The sequence below is a fragment of the Homo sapiens genome, chromosome 6 (assembly GCF_000001405.40).
Source record: "Homo sapiens chromosome 6, GRCh38.p14 Primary Assembly".
Lineage (NCBI taxonomy): Eukaryota > Metazoa > Chordata > Mammalia > Primates > Hominidae > Homo > Homo sapiens.
This window is the reverse complement of record NC_000006.12, coordinates 54,296,007-54,316,939: the sequence shown is the minus strand read 5'-3', so window position 1 is coordinate 54,316,939 and position 20,933 is coordinate 54,296,007. Positions and strand designations below refer to the sequence as shown.

The 20,933-nt window shown below is 36.7% G+C and overlaps 1 protein-coding gene and 1 long non-coding RNA gene across 9 annotated transcripts in view; one reads left to right on the top strand and one right to left on the bottom strand.

Annotated features, from left to right (window-relative positions):
* The window catches only part of TINAG (tubulointerstitial nephritis antigen), an 82,281-nt gene extending 73,203 nt beyond the window's left edge, over nucleotides 1-9,078 (bottom strand). For 5 of the 8 annotated variants that reach the window (XR_001743344.3, NM_014464.4, XM_017010745.2 and 2 more), the window contains exon 1: nucleotides 8,035-8,499. Coding sequence is in view for 7 of the 8 variants with exons in the window: in NM_014464.4 (NP_055279.3) it covers nucleotides 8,035-8,389 (355 nt within the window). In the remaining variant the exon portion in view is untranslated. Of the gene's footprint in view, nucleotides 1-8,034; nucleotides 8,500-8,973 lie in introns of those variants that run through there. The other 3 variants (XM_017010746.2, XM_017010747.2, XM_006715062.3) reach the window with 2 other exon arrangements.
* Nucleotides 9,079-14,231: 5,153 nt separating this feature from the next.
* LOC105375098 (uncharacterized) lies at nucleotides 14,232-15,678 on the top strand. The gene is made up of 3 exons (XR_926892.2): nucleotides 14,232-14,298; nucleotides 14,951-15,028; nucleotides 15,578-15,678. It is a non-coding gene; the product is annotated as an uncharacterized LOC105375098 (long non-coding RNA).
* The last annotated feature ends 5,255 nt before the right edge of the window (nucleotides 15,679-20,933 follow it).

The following is a 20,933-nucleotide window of genomic DNA, read 5'->3' as shown; positions in this document are numbered from 1 at the left end:
TTAACAGCATTTAAAGCAATATTAGGCAAATAATATATTTGGAGAATGAAATAGTTTATCTTCTCGAATTGAGAAAAGAAAATAATACATTGTCTATAATTTGTTTTAAAATAATTCATCATAGTATATTACAAGTATCTGTGCTGGTCTAAACTTCACTTCTTGAACTGCAAAAAGATGATGATATGTTGTCTATAATTTATTTTAAAATAGTTCATCACAGTGTATTATAAGTATCTATGCTGGTCAAAACTTCACTTCTTGAATTGCAAAAAGATAATGACATGTTGTCTATAATTTATTTTAAAATAGTTCACCACAGTGTATTATAAATATCTGTGCTGGTCTAAACTTCACTAAAGTAAAGGCAGTTGCTTGCTCTAATCAGGAATCCACCCCCCAGGGTTGTTCAGTGGCATTCACTCTGAAAGACCAGGCTTTGGAGAAACGGCTGCAAGTGCTTCCATTACCCATATTTTGATCAACCCTAGATTATTAGTATAATAAATGTCAGAAATGGGTTTTATTGTTAAAATTCATGACTTGTTAATCAGCATAATTGTGATAAATAATTGGCTCCCATTGGTTAAATTATAATTTTTTTACTTATGAGGATTACCTAAAATATTTCAAAGTCACATACCACCCTTGTATCCCATAGCTTAGATGTATCTCTTAAACTCAAAAGCACCTGTACTCTTAGACTTGGCTCTCTAGGACTGATATTTGTCCTGTGTACTGTGTCCAGCCAAGTAGAAAGGAGGAATTGTCATTCTCTGATAGCCACTGTATAGGTAACAGAGTTCTACCTCTGTAATATTATCACATGTGCCTCCAATAAATCTTTCATGCAACGTAGATGTGGGAACACGTAAAAGGACAGGAACTGGAGATTTCATGAAGCTTATAGACGTTGTATGAATTGGTTTGTGTCATATTTTTGTAACTGTCAGTATACGTGGCAAAGTATGGACTGTGATTTACCTTCATTGTAATATAGTTAAGGAGGCTGTGAAGAAGTAAATAACCCTCTTCGAATTCAAACATGTCAGTGACTCACATACATTTTTTACCAATGTGAACATATTGTGCATAATCAAATCAACTTAGGTCTGTTCACAGCAGATGGTCTACTAGACTTTCTCCTTAAAATCCTCTATACCAAAAGGTTATGTCTAGAAAATCCACTCGAGCTCTGTTTTCAACTCTGTCACTGGTTCTCCATATCTGACATTTGAATTTTTTTACTTTTTTTTTTTTACTTTGACAGGGTCTTATTCTGTCATCCAGGCTAGAGTGCATTGGTGGAATGATAGCTCACAGAAGCCTCAAACTCCTGGGCTTAAGGGATCCTCCTGCCTCAGCCTCCCATGTAGATGGGACTACAGTGTATGCCACCATGACTGGCTAATTTTTATTTTTTTTATTGTTGTTGGTGGGGATGAGGTCTTATTGTACTGCTAGGCTGGTCTTAAACTCTTGGCCGTCAAGAGATACTCCCACCTTGACCTCCAAAGTGCTGGGATTACAGGTGTGAGCCACCACACCCAGCCTGACATTTGAAATCCTTTACTGGAAGTTACCATCAGATATGGCAAAGAAAATACAGAAAGAAGATATTTACCAATATGCTTTACTTCCAGTTTGTACAAAATGGATATATTTACTTTTTTAATCCTGAAGATAATGTACATAGTTTTAAATCCTTGATTTAAAGAGCTCTTAGAACAGGCACAATAAGAGGAACTGAACAATACCCATGTAACTAAATCTCTGAAAAATATATTTAATAGATCAGTGAGTGATCATAGAATCTCAGAGGAAAGTTGCTTTATGCATGCAACCAATAGCATAAATAATATACATTGTATTTTTATCTTAACTAATTTTGCACATTTTTTCAATATTGTGTAGTACTATTTTCAAGTAGCTGCTTTCAAAAGCAAGATAAAACAAAAGAAAAAAAATTATCTGTATGGGAGCATTTATAGTCTAATGTGAACTTTTTGCTACAAAGTAAAATGATTAATTCCTTCCTTTCATAGTGAATGGAGTAAAAACTATACCTGGAACATAAATTCTACATAAACTATGACCCTAAATTAAAGTCTTAGCAAAATTCTACCTCTCAAGCAAAAATGGATATTGAAGAAGTAGCAACTACTTTTTTTGTATGCACTGTATGCCTCAAATAAGAAAATCTCAAGTACATTTCAGCACATTAAAAAATTACAACTCATACTTTTAAACTGAGACTCAAAAAAATATTAAATTGATATAATAACTAATCAAAAGGCAGACATCCAAATAGCCACTGTGTTTTTAGGTGATTCCGCATTCTTAATTTTTGGCAGAGATTGCTGGTTATTCCCAATATCATTCTCTACTCTTTTTTTTTGTAACAGAACCCCATTCATAGCTAGACACATTACCACACAGCTAAGAAAAACCTCTCTTTGATGGTTGGTATGTCCATGTGACTATATTCTGGCCAAAGAAATAAAACAGAGGTGCTCATCTGTGCTTTAGAATGTCTTCTCAAAATGTGGAAACTCTAACCTTCTTTTCCATTTATTTTAAATGGGACTCAAATATCACTTTTGGATCATGAAGAGCCAAAGCAGCTCATGACTACAAGGGCCATTTTCTAAGAATGGTGAAGCAGAAGGCTGCATGGAGCCTCGTGGCTAATGACAAAGTGAATCCAGGCAAAATATCTTATGTGTTAAAAATACGTATTTTAGTTAGGGTTGTCACCAATCTGACATGTTCTTATATGGTACATAGTTTTTATCAAATAAACATTTAACCATTTTAATATACTCAACTTTCCTGGGTGATACTCTTGTCCACATGTGGCATACAAGTCACACGATGCTTCTTAATTGTTTCGCATACCTAAGTCTCCTTACCCATGTAGATCCTAAGTTTCTCGAGGCCTGGGACTTTATAATACCCTTTTCTTATGACCCTCAATGCTTACCACAATCATGGATATATAAAAAGTTTTAAATACTATCGATTACTCCTGTTGATATTCCAACATCCAAAATAATATAGAAATTGCACATTTAAACTATAAACAATAATACTTTGATATTTTCTAAATATCTTTTAAAACTATGTATGAAAAAGTATGCTTATGAAAATATTTTATTATTTTAAATCATATGAGTAAATTATTATTTAATTTAACAAATACAAAATTTGAAATAAAATTTAAATCCTCTAAATATCAATTAATCCAAATTCAAACAATATTTACTAGGCCTCCCACTTCATGGCACCATAATTAGTACGTGATAAGTAAATCACCGTGTTTACTCTTAAGAAGCTGCTGTATAATTAAAATAAAGTAATATTCTATTAAACAACATAGAATTAAATAATGAATGAGTTAATACCTGAAAAGTGCTTAGAACAGTTGTTGGCTCCATAGTAAGTATTCAATAAATCTTAGCTTGTAAGGAGGAGGAAGAGTATGTTCAGTAAGACAAGAGAAAACATGCTACTCAGGGTATTACAGAAGGGTCTGTTAAGTAAATATGTACTATGTGCAGGTTCTGTGAGGGGTGAATTTCCCTTGTCTGCCCAATCTTGTCACTATTAGAAACTATATTTAAATAACAGGAATACGATCCCTAACTAATCCTGGGCACAGGGCTCCTTATGATGCCTTATGTATTCTCATCATGTTACTAATACATATTAACTTCACCTATTATTTTAAGGATCATACCAACATGACAAAATAGAGAAGTTCAAAAAAATACATGTTTAAGATGCTAATTTTAAACGTGTATTTTCTATTAAACATGTATTTTCTATTTTTAAACATGTATTTTCTATTTTTCGATGAAAATACACCTTCCATTTTCAAAGAAATTACCTTCTTTCAATCCCAAAATACCTGCAATAGTAATGGCCCAAGGGTGCATGTACAGCTGTGCAAGTTGTATATGGAGCAAAAATGAGGAGTTCCACTTACAGAAACTACAGACATACTGACCCCGGCAGAGATGAGAGAAGTGGGTCAGAGAGAAAATAGCAAGGGGTAAGGGATATGGGAAAATGGAAAATACATGTTACCAAAAGGTGGCATCCACCACTCATCTCTCTCACTAATGAAAATCTCATGCAAGACCTTGCACGCAGAATTGTCAGATTTTTCAATTTTTCAAGAGTAGCTAAACATCTGGATTTTTAAATAAAAAATCCTGGTTTTTAAATATTTCTGATTCATATTAATGCTATTTTCTGTTGGCTTTATTTTTTTCTATGTAGATTGCCACATTATCTACAAATAATAAGAGTTTTACTTTATTCTCTTCAGACTGTTTTACTTCATTTTTTCTCTTAAAGCATAACAAATATCTCCCTGTTAAATGTAGCAAAAACGGTAGAAACCCATGTTTTATTACTAGTCTTAAAGGGAACTTATCTACATTTCTCCATTATGTATGATGTTTACTTTGGAGTTCTGGTGTAGACAGCTTTACTGTGATAAATAAATACATTTTTGTTTCTAATAACAGAATTGAGAAAAATTGCCAGTAGGATATGAGCTCTCATGAATAAATAGCATTTATTCATAACAACAGCCAACCAACTATAAAATATATTTTAAAAATATATAATACAGTGCTTGAGCTCTGAAGTTTGAAACAGCCTGGGAAACAAGGAAAAACCCCATCTCTACTAAAAATGCAAAAAAATAGCCAGGCATGGTGGTAGGCACCTGTAGTCCCAGCTACTTGGAAGTTTAAAGTGGGAGAATCACTTGAGCCCGGGGAAGGTCGAGGCTGCAGTGAGCCATGATGGCGCCACTGTACTTCAGCCTGGGTGACAGAGCAAGACCCTGTCAAAAACAAAAAACAAAAAACAAACAAAAAAAAAGCAATACAAAATAAATATCCAGGAATAAACAAGAGTATTATAAGGCCACTATGGAGTAAAGTGTTAAATCTATTTAAGGATATTTTTAAAAATCAGAGTAAGTGGAGAAATATCCTATACTCTTTGATGAGATGTCATCACATTACAGAGTTCAGCTATCTTCAAATAAGTCTATAAATTTTATGCAATTCTATTCAAAATTCTAGCTGAAGTTTTTTGAGGAACTAAAAAAACTTATTCAAAAACTGTTTATGGAAGATTAATGTCTACATGACCTAAGTCATCTTCAAAAAAGGGGGGTGAATAAGCTGACTTGCTGTACCTGATATTAAGTTGCATTACAAGGCTGTGGATAGGAAAAAGTAAGTCACAGGAAGAAGAAAGCCAATCATTAATGAGCATATGAAGAGAAGCTCAAACCCACTAGAAATTAGAGAAATGCAAATTAAAATGACAATGAGAAATCACGTTTTACTGATTATATAAGTAAAGGTTACCTCTCTGGATAATACTAATTGTTAGAGACGTGTCCCCGTATAGTACTAGGGGAACATAAACTAATGCAGCTACTTCTGAGAGCCATCTGGCAAGACTTAGATTAAATGCATACCTGGGACCCAGCAATTCAAGTCTTGCCATATCATGCAAGTCAGTAAGAAGGCATGCATGAGGCTGTCCATCATGGACTTCTTTATGATAGCAAAGAGCTGTAGACAACTTAGGTGTCCACCCACCATGGAGGGAACAGGGAGTTAGATGAGATGAAGGGACATCACAGAGAATGAAGCATCAGTCAGAAGCCACAGACTAGTCATACTAGTCCACGGAGACATGGAGAGAGTCTTAAAACATGTTGCTGTCTGAGAAAATCAAGAAACAGAATGAGGTCTGTAGCATAATATGGTCTATATAAATTAATAATTCAAGCACACAAAACAAGACCACATGCTGTTAAAGGGTATATAAAAATGTTTTAAAAGGAGGTTACCATTGGAGAAAGATGGGAATGGCTCATAAAAATGAAAGGAAAGGAAAGGAATAGAAAGGAAAGGGAGAGGGAGAAGGAGAGGGAGAGAAAGGAAAGAAGAGAAAGAGAGAGAAAAAAAGAAAGAAAGAGGGAAAGTGGGAGAGAGAAAGAGAAAGAGGGAGAGAAATAGAGAGAGAAAAAAAGAAAGAGAAAGAAAGAGCGAGAGAAAGAGAGAGAGAAAAAAGAAAGAGAAAGAAAGAGGGAGAGAAAGAGAGAGAGAAAAAAGAAAGAGAAAGAAAGGGAGAGAAAGAGAGAGAAAAAAGAAAGAGAAGAGGGAGAGAAAGAGAGAAAAAAGAAAGAGGGAGAGAAAGAGAGAGAGAAAAAAGAAGAAAGAAAGAGGGAGAGAAAGAGAGAAAAAGAAAGAGAAAGAAAGAGAGGGAGGAAGGAAGGAAGGGGAGAGAGACAGAGAGAGAGAAAGAAAAGAAAGAAAGAAGAGAAGAAAGAGAGAGGGAGGGAAGGAGGAAGGAAGGGGAGAGAGACAGAGAGAGAAAGAAAGAAAAGAAAGAAAGAGAAAGAAAGAAGAAAAGAAAGAAAGAGAGGGAGGGAGAAAGGAGGGAGAGAGAGACAGAAAGAGAGAAAGAAGGAAGGAAGGAAAGAAAAACAAAACAGAGGAAGGAAGAAAGGAAGGAAAGTCTAGGAGCAGTGATTCATTCCTGTAATCCTAGCACTTTGGGAGGTCAAGGTGGGAGGATAGCTTGAGGCCAGGAGTTTTAAGACGAGCCTAGGCAACATAGCAAGACCCCACATTTACAAAAAATAAAATAAAATTAGCTGGGTGTGGAGGCACACACCTGTAGTCCTGGCTACTCAGGAGGCTGAGGGAGGAGGATTGTTTGAGCTCAGGAGTTAGAGGCTGCAGTGAGCCATGATCCTGCCACTGCACTCCAGTCTGGGTGACAGAGCAAGACTCACACACACACACACACACACACACACACACGGAAAAAAAAGGAAGGAAAAAAGAAAGGGAGAGAAGGATGGAGGTGTGGAGGGAGGGAAGAAGGGAAAGCTGTTTATTGGTAAAATGTAAAGACCGAGGATAAATAACAATTATGTGGAAAATTTAAAATAATACGTATGTAGACACATAAAGAGACATTTCCTCAATTTTACAAACAAGATGACATTATTGAGAATGATGGCTATGGCATCTGGATTTTTTTTTTTTTTTTGACACAGTCTTGCTCTGACTCTTTAAATGACATCTGGATTTTGAAATAAGGATTCCAAGCCCCTAGTTTACCCTAAAATGTCTTCTAACTGGGATTTCTAGTCACCATCACCCATTTATGGTAGTGTGACAGAGAAGTCTGATTAACCCTGAAGTTCTGTTGAGGAGATTTAATACAATGAGAGACAGAAAAATAAAGCCTCATCTATGCTCAAAATCCATAGTCATTCTCCTCCAATTAGATAAATATAATAAATACCATCATCCTCTTTATATTGTATTTATCCATTTAACCTTAGACTTTTTCAACCAGTCTATATGAAGCCTTCCTTTCTTTTTAATAATTGTAAAAGTCCCAGACTGGAAAAACAAATGAAGCAAAACAAAAATACACGTGAAGAATACATTTGGTATTACTTAGGCAGAGCGGGTGACTGACTTTATCTTATTTTGTCCTGGTTTTAATAGCATTACTAATACCACAGTTTCTAATGCTAGTGCATCCATTAGCCCTTTTAAATAACAACTAAAATCTACGGATAGGAAATCTTGCGACTTTCTTGAGACTCTCTAAGAGGCTGCACACAAAAAGGCTTGAGAAACCTGATGTCAATAAAAAGAAGAGAGAGAGAGAACAGAAGAAAGAGTTTAAAGTAATCCTTATACAAGTTGAGTGAGTGTTCAAAACTCACTGATCAGGATTCCGATCAGCACGCAGGACTGTCAGATCAGAACTTTCCTGAAGGTGCTTGTATTACACAGGAACCCCACATCCAAACCAAAGCACTTTAACAATCCAAAGAAATGTATTTTCTCAATCACAATAATCATTTTCATTTCATTGAAAGAAGGAAAAAAAGAAAGAAGAAAAAGAGAGAACGTTTGTCAGATCTTGTTGTTATGAACGAGGATGATGTTGAAACACATTCCCAAAGCCTACCTTCTGGATACCAAGGCTGTGTGTGAGGAGGCCATTCTTTCTCTTCACGGCAAAAGGACTTGTAGTCAGGACAGCAATCAGAATTTTCTCTGTCACAGAATTTATCACAGTAGCACAACGCATTCGCCGCATAGAACTCAGTGACACAGCCATCATCTCTGTCTTCACAACAGCCAAAATTTCTACAGTATTGCCCTTGGAAAATGGCTCTTTTGAATCGAGTACCTTGCAAAACGGTGTGATTCCTAGTGAAATAAGCCTCTAGGTCCACTTCTCTTTGAGATAAATACTGCTTCTCCATCCAGATTTCTGTAGTAAGATAAGAGAAGATTAAGATCTTATATCCGGTCCACATTCTCTGGAAGTCAGGTATAGCTTCCACTTTCCGTTATATCCAATACCCTTAGCCTTGTGGGCTTCTCCTTGGAACCTGAATTCTAGTCATTAAGACACTTCAGCCTGAACCCTGAAACTGATCCTTTACTTGAATGAGTATACTTCTCATAGTTAAACATTAATCAAGAATTTCAATGTTTGACCAAGATAATGTATGTTAGAAATAAACTATTGTTATTCCCCCAAAGTTAAAAAACTTATATTTCATATAGTGTAGAAATTATGCATCATCAAAATATCTACATAAAATCTTATGCATAGAGATACATTGACTATTGCATGCCTCTCAAAAAATCTAGGTTCTTAAATCGAAAGCCTCCTTAGAATATACATGGCCCAGATTATGGCTGTAATAACCACTGGCAAGGTGCAGGAAATTCAAAAGTCAAAAATGCAATTATTCGTTTCACCTGCCTGCATTGAAACGAACATCCAGGCTCTCATGAGGTTGCCTGCTAGGATCTGTCATATCAATAACAGTTGCTCTAAATCATGCCCAGTCACACACTGGTTTGATTTCCCATCTGTACTCCATTTACCTACCAGAAGCGTTTTGATTTCAAGGCTTAGTGGAACCTAATTCAGCAAGAAATTCCCTGAGGGTGACCTTAGTTCTCTCCACCTGAGTCCCTGCTTAGCACAAACACTGGGAACCTTCAGTATCTTGAAGGCAGCTTATAGTCAAGAAAAGTCAGTACTCGGTGTGAATGAACTATGGGGGGAGGGTGTTGTGAAGGAAACTGGAAGGACAAGGTGTCATTGTGTTTTTATAGAGCTGTGTGTTTTCACTGGTTTTTGGCTACACTGTATTTACTCATTAACTACAACAACTTCCTTTGGATTGGGGATAAGTAACCAGCAGAGGATGATTCAGCAAGAGTTGCTGGGTGGACTAGTGGAAAGCACCTGTCCTGGCAATCAGAAAACCCGGACTCTGGTCCCTGAGCTACTGTTTAATTGGTTCTATAACCTTGGGTTCACCATTTACTTCTCTGGTCCTCAGTTATTTGTCTATGAAATGGGGTATTCCTTTCCCAGACTATTTCATAACTCCAACCCTACAAACTTGTTCCTTGACCTTGCTGTTTATTTTATTCAACTCACACTTTTGTCTTCATTGTGTCGTTTTCTTCTGGCACCTTCCTCTCAGGCTTTAAACCAATGTGAGTCTCTCTTTTTTTAAAAAAAAAAAAAAAGTCTACATAATCTTGATGTCACTATCCATAATGCCCCTGTCTCTTCAATCCAACACCTGCTGCCTCCACTTCCTTGCCATCTACTGAATCACTAAATTACTGCAAAGTACTGCCTCCATTCCCACCTGCTTTCACCAATGACCTCCTACCAGCCACTCCCCCATGGATCTGCATTTATCCTTGTCATACAGGTGTCTTATGCAGCATTCAAAGAGAGTAGATGTTAAGTGTGCTCACCAAAAAAAGAAAGAAAAAAAGGATGAAAGAGAGAAGGAAGGAGGGAAAAGAGAGAGAGAAAGAAGAAAATGGAAACTATGTGAGGTGATGGAGATGCCCATGAGCTAGATTGGGGTGATTATTTTACAATGTATATGCATATCAAAACATCAATTTGTACATTTTAAATATATACAATTTTTATTTGTCAATTATACCTCAGCAAAACTACAGGGAAAAGAGAGGAAGGGAGCATAAAAGTTAGACTAATGGAATTCATATCCTAGTTCTGCCACTGACTAGCAGCATGTCTTTGGGTATGTGGCTTACTCTATGCTTCAATTTGCTCATCTGCACATTTGGATATTAATATTTATTACTACATCAGATGGGTGGGAAATTTAAATGCGATAATAACACAAAGTACTTAGCACATCACACATGCTAAATAAATGTTAATTTTCATTAATAAGCATACCCACTACCTAGAAACTCTTCCTCCCTTGCTTTCTATGCTTTCATTCTTTCTTGGTTCTCTTCCCATTCTTCACAATGCTCCCAATTTACCTGCCCACTTTTGGATTCACTTCCTTCCCTTCTCAATGATCATTTGAAATTGACTTTCACTGACATTCTCAACATTCCCACCTCTAGTCCTCATACCTCATATTCCCTCAGACTTCCAACATGAATCAGTTTAACAGCTATGGGCCACAAGATCATATCCAAGGTGGACCTCCAACTTTCTCTCTCTGAACTTAATTTATATCATTTTACACCTTGCACACATTGGTCCCGTCCTTACACTGGGTTTCTTGCCCATTCCTCAAACATACCACGGACACTTCCGTCTTAGCGCCTTTGCACTTGCTCTTTCCTCTGCCTGAATCATGTTTTCCCAGATAACCGAATAGCTGTATCTCTTTCGGCCTCTCAGAGAGGTCTTTCCCACACACCCTGTCCAAAATGACAAACCGTCTTCCGTCTCAGCATCCTCTCTCGCTTTCTCTGTACTTATCACAGTATACTACAATTTTATTCATTGGCTGTATTTTCTGCATTTCCCCTCCAAAATGTAAGATCTACAAGATCAGATAATTTTGTCTATTCTGTCTTGGTTTTATCTCAAGCTCCTAAGACAGTGCCTAACACATAGTAGATGCTCAATAAATATTTATTCAATAAACAAATAAATCCTGCAATTTGCATTTTTCCCCTCTACCTTCTCTACTGAGGGCTGCTGGAGATGATCTACTAGACCATAAAATTGGTGACACCATAAATTTTGGGTTATTTATCTTAGCAGAGCTCTTAAATGCTGCTCATATTTCTTTAATTTGTCTCTTCTTTCCCTTAGTGACTACTACAAAGCTCTTTGCCTTCCTAACTCACTCTCTCATTTTCTAGAGATGACCCTCTCCCACAGGTTACTAAGAAAACAAAAACAGCAAATGTTAATCCCACACCTTCCTGTCATAAAAACCATAAACCTATCTACACTTGCAACCATCTTCCTTTCTTCCTTCCAGACTCTGAAGATAAGGTACCAGGGTTTCCAGATAATTCTTCCATCTATGATTTTCAGTCTGACACCATTTATCTCTTTCTTCCCCTACCCCTTAGGTCCCACACATCATCAACCTCCCTCTCAGCCAGTTCCTTCAGTCCATTAGCAGGACAGTAGCAGACACCATTGTCACCCCACTCATATTCTCAACATTCTTACCACTTTAGTACAAGCTAGTTAGAACTACAGCTATGTGAAGTATTTATTGGCCAAAGCCCACTCCTCCTTCTCCCTCCCCTACTCCCAGAATAACAAGCCAGATATGTTGAGGATTTAAAACCCTCCCCCAACCCAGAATCAAACTTGATTTTATTTTTAATTGAAAATTAAAATTGCATAATTTATGGCATACAATTTGATGCTTTGTAGTTTGTATGTGTACATTGTGGAAAGGCTAAATCAAGCTGATTAAAATATACAGTAGGGCACATGCTTATCTTTTTTTTTGGTGAGAACACTAAAATTTACTCTTCTAACAATTTTCAAGTATACAGTTGTCTCTCGTTATCCATGGAGGATTGGTTCCAGGACCCCCTACAGATACCCAAATCAGCAGGTACTCAAGTCTCTTATGTTAAATAGCAAAATATCTGCATATAACCTGCTGTATATCCTCTTGTATAATTTAAATCATCTCTAAATTACTTACAATACCTATTACAATGTAAATGTTACATAAATAACTGTTACACTGTATTTTTTAATTTGTATAAATTTTTTACTGTTTTATTGCTATCGTTTGTAGCTCTTAAAAATATTTTCAATTTGAGATTGGTTGAATCCATCAACGCAAAACCCACAGCTACAGAGGGCCAACTGTATATTATTATTATCTATAGTTGCCATAATTTACAATAGATCTCTGAAACTTACTCCTCCTAACTGAAATTTTGCAACCCTTGATCAACATTTCCCCAATTCCCTTATCCCCCAGCCTCTGGTAACCTCCATTCTACTCTCTGCTTCTACCAGTTCAACTTTTATAGATTCAACTTTTTGAGATCATTTAGTGTTTGTCTTTATGGGTCTGGCTTATTTTATTTTTTATCATGTTCTTTAGGTTCATTCATGTTGTCACCAATGACAACATTTCCTTATTTTTAAGGCTAAATTTTGTATATATACCACATTATCTTTATCCATTCATTCACCAACAAACACTTAAGTCGATTCCACATTTTGGCTATGTTACTGCAATGAATGTGGGAGTGCAAATATCTCTTCAATATATTGATTTCATATCCTTTGTAAATATAGCAAGTAGTAGAACTGCTAGATCATATGTTAGTTCTATTTTTAACTTTTTGAGGAACTTCCATGCTGTTTTCCATAATGGCTGAACTACTTTACATTCCTACTAATAATGTGTAGGCATCCTCTTTTCTCCACATTCTTGCCAAAACTTGTTATCTTTTGTTTCTTTGATAATAACCATTCTAATACATGTAAGGTGATATCTCATTCTGATGTTAATTTGCATTATCCTGATGATTAGTGATATTAAACATTTTTTTCATGTATCTGTTGGCCATTTGAGTGTCTTCTTTTGAGAAATGTTGATCCAGGTCCTTTGCCTATTTCTTAATAGGACTGTTTTCTTGCTATCGAATTGTTTTGAGTTCCTGATATATTTGGATTTGAACCCCTTATCAGATGTGTGGTTTGTAAATATGTTTGCCCAATCCATTGGTTGTCTTGTCACACTGCTGATTGTTTTCTTTGCTGTTGCAGAAGATTTTTAGTTTATATAATCCCACTTGCCTGTTTTTGCTTTTGCTGCCTGTGCTTTTGGGGTCATATCAAAAAAATCGTTGCCTTGACTGATGTCACAGAGCTTTCATAAGCAACCTTTGAATAATGCCTAAAGGAGTTGGCATATAAATATGCCCATCCCCCAACCTTGGTTGAGCAATCTCTGCTATCCACATCTACATAGTCTATGTTTTGAGACAAGAATAGGAGCTCTATAGTGAGAGGGATTGACAATTGCACCCTCGCCTATTTGTTTACATGATTAAATACTGTAGTTTACCAGTGTCTGGTAGGTATATCTACTGATTATAGTATCTTGCGTTAACTCATTCACCCACTCTAAATTGACAAAAGCTTTTAAAAATTTCTGCAAAGAAACTTCACATTGAAAGTGACAAATCTGAAACAAATTCTACAAATAATGTATTCCTTTAAACCAGTGGGTTTCAACAAGGGGTTGAGTTTACACCTTAAGAGAAGTTTAACATGTCTGGAGAGAGTTTTATTGTTCAGACTGGAGAGATACCACTGGAAGCAAGTGGGTAGAGAATAGAAATGCTGCTAAACATTCTAGAATACCCAGGACAGAACCCATAACAAAGAATCATATGGCCCAAAATGGCAGCATACCATTGTTGATAAATGCCGATTTAGATATATCAAAAAAAATTTAAATTAACAAGACATCAGATAAAAGCTAAAATTATCATACTTATTTGCTATTTCAACTTATATAAAGGTTCATAAGATGGGCCTCCAATAAGTGGTTGCTTTGAGATATTAACTAATGATGGCAATACATATATACTGGGGCTACTCCCTCAAAAATTTTGGGTGCAGTACATACATGACTGAAAATATTAGAGTCCATCATGCCACAATCTCCTCCAATTTGGTCATTCTCCTTGGGTGAGGTACATTTTAGGGGAGAAGAAAAGTGCTGCAGCCCCTCTTATGATTACTTTTACTACCTCCATTGCACAAGAAAGAATGGAAGAGATCAGCAGCCTCCTGATTTTACCTTGGGAAAAATGAAGCTTATCAAATAACCTTCCTGACATAAGATCTTAGCTAGATGCTGTGAAAATGGACTGAAAAGTGGAAATTACAGTCATGTTTATAATTGGCAGTTTTCAGGTATATTTAAATATGTAAAATGTAAACCTTAAAGAGGAAATACCATGTTCTGCCAAACCACTTTCTCTGATCTGTGTTTTTTGGGGGACATAATACAGTCCCTTTTTCAATGTAGAGCAAAGTGGTGTGTGTGTGTGTGTGTGTGGGTGTGTGTAAGAGAGAGAGAGACAAAGAGACAGAGAGAATAGGAAGATAGCCTTGCTAAAAACAATTTATTGGATTGGCTTAATTTCCATCACTAGAAATTTATTACTTTAAATTATGGGGTGTGCAAAAATTTTATTTGGTAGCAAGTGTTCTTTGGTAAGATAGCTTAAGTAATATTAACTCACTTATGAAGGTCAAGGCTTTTAATTATTTGAAGCTACCTTCTTATTTCTATTCAATTGAGTTAATTCAAATTTTAGAATAAATAATTTTAATAAGACATAAAAACAGTCTCTGACTATAGGATGCATTTATCTTTGAATTAAGCTGCTGTGGGAGACTGGAAGATTATACACATTACAGTTACAATATACATCTGTATATAGACATATAAATGCCCATATTGTACACAATACACATTATATATTAGTGTGTGGATATAATCTCATGTGATTGTTGCAACAGTCTGTGATGGCAAACAGTATGAATACTATTCCTATTTTAGGTTTTACAGATGAAGGGCTGGCTCAAGTGACTAAGCAGTGTGAAACAACCAATAATGGAGTGTTTGACAGCAAGTTCAGTGAGCATTTCCCTGCCCCCTCCTGCCTTTGTTTCTGTCTACAAATTTACCCTGGCCTCTTGTCTGAAGTCTGGTCTTAGCCCATGACATGAATAAATTTTGCAGAACCTTTTCAAATCCAGGTATTACTCAGGTAGAGGGAGTATGGGAAGGGGAGTAGGGGCCAAAGCTAAGATCTAGGGAAAGATTGTGGAGTTTTTCACTGATTGGTTGTGTGTTATACACTCAAGTGAAACTCCACTCTTCTCTGGAAGTTTACTAGTTAATGCACATTTGGTCTCTAATTATACATTGCTGAGAAAATTGAAAATAAAATGAAGAACTTAACAGACTCATGAAATGGAAAATAGGATCTTGCAATAGCTCCCAATTGACAACAGTTCAGGATGCTGGGCCTAGGTCCAGGCTTCTTGCAATTTTGCTCAAAGCCTTCTAACCTCTCATTATAACTAAACAGGTACTTTGGGTTCTACTTTTCGTCTTGTTTTTCACTTTTTTTTTGCAATAGCAATTTCAACCTCTTTTTCCACTTTTTATTTCCCAACACAGAACGGCACAGTATGGTGATTTGTGTAGTGTGCATTTGCAAATTAAGACAGCCTGGAGAGGACATTTGGATTAGACCATCAAGCACCAAAGAAAACTTCTAATGGGCCGAGATGATGCATCTGTTTAAGGCTGGAAGGAAGAGAAATAGAGGCCTTGACAAAAACCTCATTTCACCGCCCACCTGATCAATCTCCACTCTGGTTCAAGGGCCTTCCACAGAGATTATGTGGCCAATTCTTTGCCTCCATGTAGACTGAGGAGGAGCCATTCAAACTTGCTAATGACAAAACCCCAAAGAAACCGAAAACTAAAAAATGAAGGAAAATGCAGGAAGGCAAAGAGACTAGCAATAGACTACAATGTAGAAAAAGCTAACAGAAAAAAGTTGTGAGAAAAAAATCTGTGCATATAAGTAAGAATATTTATTTTCACATCAAAAGTCTAACTTTAATGTGCTTAAACAAGAAACATTACGGGAAATACAAAAACATTACTTCTAGAGCTAATAAAAATTTTTAATTAGTGCTTTATTTCACAAGAGGCACTTGAAAATAAGAAATAAGCCTGCTATCTCATTCTCTTAACATGCTTCTAGTAGTATAATGTTTTCAGGAAAGAAGTTTATTTTACTTACTCATTCTTTTATTCAAAAAGCATGTGTTGAACTCCACATGTATTTCAGGCCCTATGCTATATTCTGGGAATATACTGATTAATGAAACTTGATTCTAATTCTTAAAGACCAAGCCAGTATGGCCAGAGATGCCAACTTATTAAAAAAATCATTGCATTGAGCCTTGATAAGTGTTATTACTGGCATATGTAGAGGGCAAAAAAGGGCACCAAGAAAAGAGTAGTCAATGCTTCCTGGTAGCACTAGGGAAGACAACACTAAAGAAATGACATTTTAGTTGAATCTTAAAGAGTAAGTAGGATATTTGCCATGTAAAGTAGACAGAATTTCTAGACAAGAAACAGAATATAACATATAGCATATTTGAAAAGCTGAGAGGGGCCAGATCATTTTGGGTCTTGAATGACAAGGATATAGTATAAATTATAGACTTCACTCTAAAAATGGAAAAAAATGTGGGTCATTTGTTTTTGCTCTCCCAACAGTTCCTTTTTCTTTAAGTAACAGCACATGGCTTTCTTTGGGGATCTGTTCATCTCCCACTTTGCCAAAGTCCTGGTGAGACCATCAGTAATGAGTCTTTACCTTTATCACTCCCCAGAAGTGTCTGCACATGACATAAGCTAAGCCAGTCACTCTTTCCTGACAATTTGAATCTTCAGTGGAGTGACTAGTGTATAAAGCAGAAGGAGCTGAGTCATTCAGACACCAACACTTCCAAAATTGATCATGAGTTATAGATCAAGATCCTTGATCATTCAACTTTTCCTTAATTTCTATGAACACTAGTATTCTTCTGACAAGTTCCTTTTTTTCCTTTGGTTTAAATTGACCAGAGTTTGTGTCTGCTTTTTGCAACCAAAGAATCCTTGAACTAGAAAGTTATTTCAAATTCCTAACAAGATAGGGATATGGTCAGAATGGCATTTTTCAATAAATCATTATGTTACCAGAATAAAAAACACATGGGATGATAGTGAGATCGGAGGCTGGGAGATGAGTCAGGAAACTATGCAATAGTCTAGGCAAAAGATGATGATAACTTGTCCTTGAGAAGTGGTTCTGGAATAGAAAGTTAAATAAGAAACGTATTAAGTGGGTCATACTTCCATAATGTCAAATTGGCTACAGGGATAAAGGAATAAGGGTTGCCTAGGGTGAGTTTCATTTTCCTTTCTTGAATGACTACATAGTAACATTAGCTTAGGAGAAGCAGTTTAAGGCACAGATGAGCTCAGTTTGAAACCTATTAAGTTTGATATTTTAGTGGGTTACTCAGATGGATATGTCTAATGAAAAACTGACTTCCGTCATTGCTATTGTATAGATTTGGAAGCCATCAACACATAGCTGATAGTAAAAGCCATGGAAATGAATGACATTACCCATCATCAGCCAGGACTGAAGCATGACTCTGTCAGTAAGATAGTTGAATAGTCTAAATGCCGTTGTAAGTCTTCAGCAAAGAGTTTTGCTTTAAATTTAGAACTTTATGGGCTCTATTGGAAGTTTAGTTTTTAAAAATAATTTCTCTCTTAAACTATTTGAAAATGTCTCTCTGTAGGTTGCCTGTTCACTCTGATGGTAGTTTCCTTTGCTGTGCAGAAGCTCTTTAGTTTAATTAGATCCCATTTGTCAATTTTGGCTTTTGTTGCCATTGCTTTTGCTGTTTTAGACATGAAGTCCTTGCCCATGTCTACGTCCTGAATGGTAATGCCTAGGTTTTCTTCTAGAGTTTTTATGATTTTAGGTCTAACATGTAAGTCTTTAATCCATCTTGAATTAATTTTTGTATAAGGTGTAAGGAAGGTATCCAGTTTCAGCTTTCTACATATGGCTAGCCAGTTTTCCCAGCACCATTTATTAAATAGGGAATCCTTTCCCCATTGCTTGTTTTTGTCAGGTTTTTCAAAGATCACATAGTTGTAGATATGCGGCATTATTTCTGAGGGCTCTGTTCTGTTCCATTGATCTATATCTCTGTTTTGGTACCAGTACCATGCTGTTTTGGTTACTGTAGCCTTGTAGTATAGTTTGAAGTCAGGTAGTGTGATGCCTCCAGCTTTGTTCTTTTAGCTTCAGATTGACTTAGCAGTGCAGGCTCTTTTTTGGTTCCATATGAACTTTAAAGTAGTTTTTTCCAATTCTGTGAAGAAAGTCATTGGTAGCTTGATGGGGATGGCATTGAATTTGTAAATTACCTTGGGCAGTATGGCCATTTTCACGATATTGCTTCTTCCTACCCATGAGCATGGAATGTTCTTCCTTTTGTTTGTATCTTCTTTTATTTCATTGAGCAGTGGTTTGTAGTTCTCCTTGAAGAGGTCCTTCACATCCCTTGTAAGTTGGATTCCTAGGTATTTTATTCTCTTTGGAGCAATTGTGAATGGGAGTTCACTCATGATTTGGCTCTCTGTTTGTCTGTTATTGGTGTATAAGACCGCTTGTGATTTTTGTACATTGATTTTGTATCCTGAGACTTTGCTGAGGTTGCTTATCAGCTTAAGGAGATTTTAGGCTGAGACAATGGGGTTTTCTAGATATACAATCATGTCATCTGCAAACAGGGACAATTTGACTTCCTCTTTTCCTAATTGAATACCCTTTATTTCCTTCTCCTGCCTAATTGCCCTGGCCAGAACTTCCAACACTCTTTTGAGTAGGAGTGGTGAGAGAGGGCATCCCTGTCTTGTGCCAGTTTTCAAAGGGAATGCTTCCAGTTTTTGCCCATTCAGTATGATATTGGCTGTGTGTTTGTCATAGATAGCCCTTATTATTTTGAGATACATCCCATCAATACCTAATTTATTGAGAGTATATAGCACGAAGGTTAGTTGAATTTTGTCAAAGGCCTTTTCTGCATCTATTGAGAAAATTTTTGCAACCTACTCATCTGACAAAGGGCTAATATCCAGAATCAACAATGAACTCAAACAAATTTACAAGAAAAAAACAAACAACCCCATCAAAAAGTGGGCGAAGGATATAAACAGACACTTCTCAAAAGAAGACATTTATGCAGTCAAAAAACACATGAAAAAATGCTCATCATCACTGGCCATCAGAGAAATGCAAATCAAAACCACAATGAGATACCATCTCACACCAGTTAGAATGGCGATCATTAAAAAGTCAGGAAACAACAGGTGCTGGAGAGGATGTGGAGAAATAGGAACACTTTGACACTGTTGGTGGGACTGTAAACTAGTTCAACCATTGTGGAAGTCAGTGTGGCGATTCCTCAGGGATCTAGAACTAGAAATACCATTTGAGCCAGCCATCCCATTACTGGGTATATACCCAAAGGACTATAAATCATGCTGCTATAAAGACACATGCACACATATGTTTATTGTGGCACTATTCACAATAGCAAAGACTTGGAACCAACCCAAATGTCCAACAATGATAGACTGGATTAAGAAAATGTGGCACATATACACCATGGAATACTATGCAGCCATAAAAAATGATAAGTTCACGTCCTTTGTAGGGACATGGATGAAGCTGGAAACCATCATTCTCAGCAAACTATCACAAGGAAAAAAAACCAAACACTGCATGTTCTCACTCATAGGTGGGAATTGAACAATGAGAATACATGGACACAGGAAGGGGAACATCACACACCAGGGACTGTTGTGGGGTGGGGGGAGGGGGGAGGGATAGCATTAGGAGATATACCTAATGCTAAATGACGAGTTAATGGATGCAGCACACCAACATGGCACATGTATACATATGTAACAAACCTGCACGTTGTGCACATGTACCCTAAAACTTAAAGTATAATAATCATAAAATTTAAAAAAAAAGAAAAACAATAAAGACAATTTCACTATTTCATTACCAAACTGAAAAAAAAAAAAAAAAGAAAATATCTCTCATGTATTTGTTTTACGAGCGACATCGTGGTATAATGGAATGATTCTTAGCTTTGGATTCAAATCAAATCAGACTGAAATCCCTTCCTAGCCGTGTGACAGTGGTCAAATTAGTTATTTTCATATAAGCTTGGTTAACTCAAATATCAAAATTGGAAGTATAATACCAAACTTAGAGAGTTGCTTTGAGGATTAAATAACATAATGGATGAGAAAGTACTGGAATCATGCAGAAGCTCCTTTACTTGCAAAGAAATATTTTCCCAAAGTTTGATTTTAAATTGATGAGTTTCAAAGTCTGAAGGGACTTGGAAGGTTTTTGGCATGTTTTGGCATGTGACCTCCAGATGCATTTACCCTAAAAGGACTTAAAACCAAACATAAGCTTCTCCTCTTTGCTGATACATGTTCAATTAGGAATTAGGAATCTTTTGCAAAACATGACTATTTTATCTACATAAAAATGTGTGCCAGGCAAAATGGCTGACTACATGCAGCCAGGAGGAACATCTGCCACTGAGGGATGGGGACATCGGGGAGACTGGTGCACTCTGAGCAGATCTTTGGAGGGAAGGCCTTGAGAATGGATGGGGGGTGAACACAGACACTGAGTTTAAAAGGGAGAGAACTGGGAATGCTGCATGGGGCTACCATGCTCTGGGACTCATTCCTGGCCTCTAGTGACTCCTGCAGAAGGAATGAGTTGGAAAGGCAAGGAAGGACCCACTCTCACCACAGACTTCTGGAATCCTGGCAGCAAGAGACCCCCACACCCTCCATAGACACTTGAGCTGCCAGATAGACCTGCTTAGAATGGTGGTAGGGGCAGGACTCCAGC